This window comes from Homo sapiens, chromosome 5 (assembly GCF_000001405.40).
Source record: "Homo sapiens chromosome 5, GRCh38.p14 Primary Assembly".
NCBI lineage: Eukaryota > Metazoa > Chordata > Mammalia > Primates > Hominidae > Homo > Homo sapiens.
The window spans coordinates 119540151-119548298 of NC_000005.10; the positions used below are offsets into that span (position 1 = coordinate 119540151).

The following is an 8148-nucleotide window of genomic DNA, read 5'->3' on the forward strand; positions in this document are numbered from 1 at the left end:
GGCAGTTTATAGTCTTACTACTTTTTGCATGGCACTCCTAGGCCAAACCATATACCTAACAGTTTCATTTATGAAGTAGTTCAAAACAATTAGTTTTTTGTGTTCAACCAGTATGACTGTATTTCCCTCCCAAATTAACAGTATTGGGAAAGTGTCCCTGAGAGAGTTTGCTGTGATGTCCGGTGCATGGCAGTGCAGAGTTTGGAAACTGGCAATATGGACGTATGGTTAAGGGCTTTAAGAAATAAGAAAATAGATAGGAGGAAAGATTTATGTACAAAATTCTTCTGCTCAAAAATGTCCAAAATTGATATTTTTACTTCTAGTAATTAGGTGTTCTTGTTTTAGGTTGTAAATCTCTTTCAGAGTTTAGTACATAGCAGGCTGGCCTAAGTACTGACTCCTTCCCTGCATGAGTTGCAGACCATCGTTTTGTTTGTTTGTTTTTTGTAACTGCATAGTGAAAGAAATCTTAGTTTTGAAATTCTGGTCTCCTGTTTGAATGCATTTGATTGTGACTGAATGAGCTCTCTCTGACTATTTCTGGAATAAAAAGTTGTTGCCTTTTCTCCAGTTCACGAGGGTTTGCTTCTGAGACTAAGTGCTGCTCGTTAACAAGTATTGTTAACAAGCATTGCTGAGCAAAGAACACCTGAGTTTAAGCCCTGGCCCTACTTCTTGCTGGCTCTGTAGACTTGAGCAGGTTATTTAATAAGCTCTCTGAAATTCAGTTTCTCATCTGTCAACTGGGGTAAGAACTGCTGATGTGCCCACTTCAAATTGACAGCTGTAATTCTTAAATGAGATTATATTTGTGGAGCTGCTTTGTAATGCTCAGTGTATGTAGGTATCACTATTTTTTCCATTTAGCTAGAAATCTAGAGGCTTTTTCACTTCATATTTTATGTAAGCTATAAAAACTATGATTGATTATTTTTATTTTACTGATAGGGAATTTACACTGAAGGAGAACTTAAGGAACTTGCACCAGTTTCTGTATCAGGTTAGATACAAAACTGCTACAGGAACCCTTCGTTTTTAACACACCAGCTTTTGCTTGGTAATGATGAATTAATACTCTCTTATCACATGTCAAACTACTAAGCTAAGCACTCTACACATTACTTTATTTAACACGCACAACAGAGTTGTGTTATTTAGGGACTGTTGTTATGCCTTTTATAGATGAGGAGATTGAAACTCACAGAGGCCACGTATCTAAGCATTTTCTCAAGCTCACCTTGCTATTAAGGGGCACAGCCTGGATTTTAACTCAGGCATTCTGATGCTACAGCTGTGATCTATTCAACATTGTGTTATATTCTCTAATTTGTCATTTCGTGGCTTTCTAGTTCATGAAACTGTAGTAAATATTTTAAATCTGCTTTTAGAAGTTCTGAATTGAATATTTTTATTAGGAATACAGTGTAGCCTTTTATTAATATGGTCTCAAATTGTAAGAACATAAAGTAAAGCCAGAAACGTAGGTTGAAACAGAACTCCCAGATCCATGAGTTCAGATAAATTATTGTATAGTTTTCTAAAATACACAGGAATGATTTTTCTTTTTTTTAGATGTCTAAAAAAATGTGCTATCTGTAGTTATTAAATTGTCATTGCTAAATAAAGGTTGCCTTTGTTGTCCAGAATTATTAGCTCAATTGTATTCAGTCTGAATAATCTTAAAAAAAAAAAAAAGAAATAAACTATAACATGGTAACAGTTGGCACTCTTTTTCCCTCCTCTCCTTGCAGGCATTCTTTAGTGGCAGGCTGAAGGCCAGAGGGAACATCATGCTGAGCCAGAAACTTCAGATGATTCTTAAAGACTACGCCAAGCTCTGAAGGGCACACTACACTATTAATAAAAATGGAATCATTAAATACTCTCTTCACCCAAATATGCTTGATTATTCTGCAAAAGTGATTAGAACTAAGATGCAGGGGAAATTGCTTAACATTTTCAGATATCAGATAACTGCAGATTTTCATTTTCTACTAATTTTTCATGTATCATTATTTTTACAAGGAACTATATATAAGCTAGCACATAATTATCCTTCTGTTCTTAGATCTGTATCTTCATAATAAAAAATTTTGCCCAAGTCCTGTTTCCTTAGAATTTGTGATAGCATTGATAAGTTGAAAGGAAAATTAAATCAATAAAGGCCTTTGATACCTTTGTTTTTTTGTGATTTTCTGTTTTTTTATTTATTGATACCCCAGTTTTTATGTGAATTTCCATGTATGCACTCATTTTTCATACTTTGTTCTGATAGTATTCTCTTTTAAAGCAAGAGAAAAGTCTTTGTGCTCCCAAATAGTTTTCTTTCTTCTCCCCTCCCCTTTGCTGGAAATTCTTTACTACATATAATGTTTATAAATCTACCAAGTGTAGCTTTCTTGAAGAATCAGCAGTCTCAAAACAGAAAGATAGTCACTAGCAAGTACTGCCACATCACTGTTTTCCTCAGCATTTAGCTCTGATGAAGTGCACTGGGAGATGCTCTTTGGATGAGTTGGCTGCAGAGGTGACCAGCAGCAGGTGGTATGCTAAGCTCAGAGATGGAGTAAATTTCAATCAGGTAACACAGCTGAGGAGAATATGTGTGGGTGGCTAGTATGGGCTGAGTTTCCCAGGAAGCTGACTTTCAGATGGAGATTCATGTGCAGGAAGTTGATTTGGGAGGTGCTTTTATGAGCAGCACCTGCCAGGAGAAGCAAAGGAAGCAGAGCTGGGCAGATGGAGACATTAGGCTGTGGTTGCAGTTACCATAAGGCCTGGACTGATCTTTTGGGGAGCTCTGAAGCTGGGATGGCCATTCAGAATTGTCCTGAGGCAAGTAGTCATTGGTTATGACCTGCCCTGCAAGGGGGCCATGACCTTGGTCAAAGCGGCAGAGCAATTCCTGGAGTTGGCTTGCCCAGCAGTTGGGGGAATATGTCTTTTTTTTTTTCCTTAAAACTTTTAAGTTCAGGGGTACATGTGCAGGATGTACTGGTTTGTTACATAGGTAAACATGTGCCGTGGTGGTTTGCTGCACAGCTCATACCATCACCTAGATATTAAGCCCAGCATCCATTAGCTATTCATGCTGATGCTCTCCCTCCTCCCACCTTCACCCCTGCAACAGGCCCCAGTGTGAGTTGTTCCCCACCATGTGTCCATGTGTTTTCATCATTCAGTTCCCTCTTATAAGTGAAAACATGCGGTGTTTGGTTTTCTGTTCCTGCGTTAGTTTGCTAAGGATAATGGCCTCCAGCTCCATCCATGTCCCTGCAAAGGATATGATCTCACTCCTTTTTATGGCTGCAGAGTATTCCATTGTATATAGCTACCACATTTTCTTTATCCAGTCTATCATTGATGGGCATTTGGGTTGATTCCATGTCTTTGCTGTTGTGAATAGTGCTGCAGTGAACATTTATATGCGTGTACCTTTATAATAGAATAATTTATATTCCTCTGGGTAAATACCCAGTAATGGGATTGCTAGGTCAAATGGTATTTCTGCCTCTAAGTCTTTGAGGAATTGCCACACTGTCTTCCACTATGGTTGAATTAATTTATACTCCCCCCAGCAGTGTAAAAGTGTTCTTATTTATTCACAGCCTCACCAGCATCTATTGTTTCTTGATTTTTTAGTAATCGCCATTCTGACTGGCATGAGATGGTATCTCATTGTGATTTGATTTCTCTAATGATCAGTGATGTTGAACTTTTTTTCATGTTTGTTGGCCACATGTGTGTCTTCTTTTGAGAAGTATCTGTTCATGTCCTTTGCCCACTTTTTAGTTGGGTTGTTTTTTTCCTGTACATTTGTTTAGGTTCCTTGTAGACTATGGGTATTAGACCTTTGTCAGATGGATAGATTGCAAAAATTTTCTCCCATTCTGTAGGTTGTCTGTTCACTCTGATGATAGTTTCTTTTGCTGTGCAGATGCTCTTTAGTTTAATTAGATCTCATTAGCCAGTTTTTGCTTTTATTGCAATTGCTTTTGGCGTTTTTGTCATGAAATCTTTGCCCATGCCTATGCCCTGAATGTTATTGCCTAGATTTTTTTCTAGGGTTTATAGTTTTGGGTTTTTAAATTTAAGTCTGTAACCCATCTTGAGTTGGTTTTTGTATAAGGTGTAAGAAAGGGGTCCAGTTTCAATTTTCTGCATGTGGCTAACCAGCACTCACAGCATCATTTATTAAACCTATTAGAGAATCTTTTTTCCATTGCTTGTTTTTGTCAAGTTTCATAAAGATCAGATGGCTGTAGGTGGGCAGTCTTATTTCTGAGTTCCCTGTTTAGTTACGTTGCTCAGTATGTCTGTTTTGTACCAGTATCATGCTGAGGAATATGTCTTTCAATCCTGATGGGGCTTTGTAGAACTCAGCACACTTTATTTGAGGAAACAAGAATGCAAATTCAGGGATCAGGGGAGAAGGTTTCAGAAATTTGGAACTGTGATACTTAGAACAGTGATGGAACAGTAGAAGACCTCAATATGTTACTTATTTTAATGAGTGAACAGAATAAGTAGAAGGCATAGGAAGAAATTATATTTTTGGCAATTATGCCTTTGTCTCATGAACTGTATAGTATTTTTAAATTTATTTCAGAGTGATCTGTTGTTATACCAATTGAATTAATTGAGTTAATTGTTGGACATTTGGGTTGGTTCCAAGTCTTTGCTATTGTGAATAGTCAATGGCAGTATTTTTAATGTTGGTCTATTATTGTACTAAATAGTTGTTTATATTGAGCTTGGGAAAGCTTTCGTGTCCAATAGAAATAGCATATTAAAATAAATGCCACTGTATATTAATGAAAGTGTTGATTATATACCCTAGATACTTAAAACTTAAGGAAGTTATGTTTTAATTTTCTTACACATCTCTGTCAATATTTATGGTCAGAGAACTACTCATATCCAAATTTGGCAACTTATCAGTCATGCTCCTTAACCCTTCTGTAATATTTAATATTATCAAATGCCCCATCTTCCTTAATTCTTCTTACCTTTCAATGAGAAATATATTAACTTCTTAATGAACCTGTTAATCTGACTTCTACTTGTCTATTTTGTGATTTCCTTTGACTACCAGTGAAGTTCATTTAGAGAGTCAGTTCCCTAGGTTTTTACTGGGGTCTTATTCACATGGGCTCCTCTACCTGAACACATCCCCAAATTCCAGACTCAGGAGGAAAGCAGGTGTTTAGCATAAACCACGTTGTTTGTACAAACATGGCACAGAGAGCCACTCAGTGAGGGAATGGTGGGAAGCTTCCCAAAATTTAAGTTCCCAGATACCAGCCAGGCATCAACCTCAGAAGCATTCTAAGGGCAGCAGGCTCAAGGTCTGCTTTGTTAGCTCTTTTTCTACACTGATAGGATCAGCCCCAACCAAGCCACATGGCCTAAGAGCAAATCAGGTGTGATATCAGGAAATTTGGAGGACTGGAAAGCCATATCTCAAATATCCACCCCACAGGTTCTTTAGCTCTCTTAATTTGCTTCTTTACCTTAACATCAGGTAAACTATATATCCCTAAGCCTTCCAAGTGTCACCTGTGTGAGACTGTTCTCAATCGATCCTAACAGAATAATCTCTTGACTTCTCACAGAACTTTGTATATATTTTAAAGCAAACAATAAGAAAGCTGATTTTTTTTTCATTGGAAATAAATAGATTTGAATAGTATTACCCCAACATTTTAACTTTGCCTGTTAGGTCAACAAATAAAGCAGAAAAACTGAAAGATAATCCAGTTCCACTGAGAAATTCTGAAGTTCAGAAACTTCAAAAGCTGACAGTTATGGAAAGTGATTTTCTGAAGAGAAGAACATTTTAGGTCAATGTGGACTAAGCTATTTTTATGAGGGGAGAGGATAGAAAATAACCTATTTTACAATGCATAAATAGGCAAAATACAGAAATTGCAAGCCTTAGCTAAAAATGAGTCTAGATTTATATTACATGTATACATGGTATGTTGGTTGAAGTTGCCCAATTAAGTGATTTCTAGACATCAGGGTTAACGTAGCTTAAAAAAAAAGATAACCTGAGATTGCCGAGTGTTGAGGCACTAAAATTCAAAATTTAACCATGTAAGATCTGTTTGTAGCTTCATTCAAAATCCATCTTTTAAGAAGCTTGGTTACATAACTTTTAAGCCTACAGCTCACAAGAATGGAAAAACAGTCAAGTAGAAAGAACCATGTGTTGTTGCAGGGAGCACTGGCTGGGGGTAGTTTTTGTAGGCAGCATGGAAGAAGTCATAAAATTAACCCAGAAAACAGACTAAGAAGTGTCATTTGAAGTGAGGTTGAACAGCTCTATACACCTTAATCTCTTGAAGTTACAGGACTGTCAGTAAAGAACAATGATGGGTTAAATCAGGGGTCAGCATACATTTTCCGTAAAGGGCCACACAGTAAAGACTTTTGGCGTTGTGGGCCACATTTGGTCTCTGTACCGTATTTCTTAAAAAAAAAACAAAACAAAAAGAAAAACCTAAAATTGAAAAAGCCATTCTTAGTTTGCTAGCTGGACAAAAAACAGGCTAGGAACTGGATTTAGCTTGCAGGGTGGAAACTGGATATAGGTGCTGAGAGCCACTGGTTTAGAAAACAAAATTTTCAACTGTCAGCTTTATTTTTTTTAAAAATTTAATTTTTAAAAAATTTTTGTAAATTATTTTATTTCTTCCATGATGATTTAGTGGGACTATCTTCAAACCAGTACAAATATTTCATAAATAATATCTGGCTGTTTTCTAACCAATTGAGTAATATGTTCCACAGTAAGCCACCTCACCTCTTTGAGCAAGAAATACATTAAATTGGAATAGTAAAGACATTACTCAATGGATAAAGACAATTAAAATTTACTTTAAATATTTCTTTCGGGAAGAGGACACCACACTTCTACTCAATGAGTAGAAACATTTTTACAGTCCAGAGGTCTTTTATTTTTTTAACACCTACTATGCCATGAATTCATAGGGAATAAGTTCCAGCAGCTCAGGCTCCTTCCCATCGGTTCTCACAGTGTACTTCGCTGAGTGGAGCAGACTGGCGCTTCAGTTGAATCCAGGTACCTTTGTCTTTGGCTTCTTTTTCTGATTATTTTCCTTCACGCGTTTCAGGAAACTATCTTGGCTCTTAGAGTGCTTAATGTGTTCAATAAGCGCATTAATTCTCTTGGCAAGAATCTTGCCTTTAACTTGTTTGTTTACAATAAGGCCAACAGCATGCCAGGTAACATTGTAGACTCTTCCAGTTTTGCCATGATAACACTTGTGGGGCATTCCTTTTTGAGCAGTACCCATTCCCTTGATGTCTACAATATCACCTTTCTTATAGATTTGCATATACATGGCCAAAGGAAAAACTCTTGTTTTCTAAAACGCTTAGAGACCATATATCGGGTGCCTCTCCTCTTTGCCTTTGTCTTCATCATTTTGGTGAATTACTGGAAGATGGTGGTTCCAGCCGAAAGAACTGTCATATTTATTTGCCTTAAACAATTTATGAAAGTATGAATGCCTTTCAGGAAAATTTTTTCAATTATGAATGTCAAGGGACAGAACTAGGGTCAAGAAACAAATACTTAAAAAAGTTGCTTATTTATATTTTGCTTACTAATGGAGCTTTGTTTTTGCCATTCTTATTTAAATATGTTCACGTAAAATTTTCACCATTAGAGAATAGCTATTTTAAGTCACTTTGCTCATCATTTAACTTGTCTTTTCATATGCTTCCTGTTCCTTTAAGGCTCTTTCTATCTCATAATCTTTAAACCAAATAAAGTATATTAATGAAACAAAATGATTGGCATACAACTTGCGATTCTTGTTGAGATGTTGGAACTACCATGCATACAATTTATCCCATTCTTCCCACTGTTTTTTAAATATTAAAAATAGTAAGGCTCATTAATAACCCAATTTTTAAAAATGGGCAAATGATTAGGACATGCCACGTGTCACATTAGAAGTACTCAACACCATGAGAAGTCAGGGAAATGAAAATGAAAACCATAGTAAGCTACCATTACATACTAACTGAGATGATTAAAGTTAAAAAGACTGACAATACCAAATCTTGGTAAGCATGTGGATCAACTGGAAGTCTTATACACTGGTAGCAGTG

At 36.5% G+C, this 8148-nt stretch overlaps 1 protein-coding gene and 1 pseudogene across 14 annotated transcripts in view; one reads left to right on the top strand and one right to left on the bottom strand.

Annotated features, from left to right (window-relative positions):
• HSD17B4 (hydroxysteroid 17-beta dehydrogenase 4) overlaps window positions 1-2182 on the top strand; it is an 89836-nt gene extending 87654 nt beyond the window's left edge. For all 14 annotated transcript variants that reach the window (NR_164654.1, NR_164653.1, NM_001374503.1 and 11 more), the window contains one exon: window positions 1755-2182. Coding sequence is in view for 12 of the 14 variants with exons in the window: in NM_001374503.1 (NP_001361432.1) it covers window positions 1755-1844 (90 nt within the window). In the remaining 2 variants the exon portion in view is untranslated. The remainder of the gene's footprint in view (window positions 1-1754) is intronic.
• RPL21P58 (ribosomal protein L21 pseudogene 58) lies at window positions 6949-7495 on the bottom strand (annotated as a pseudogene).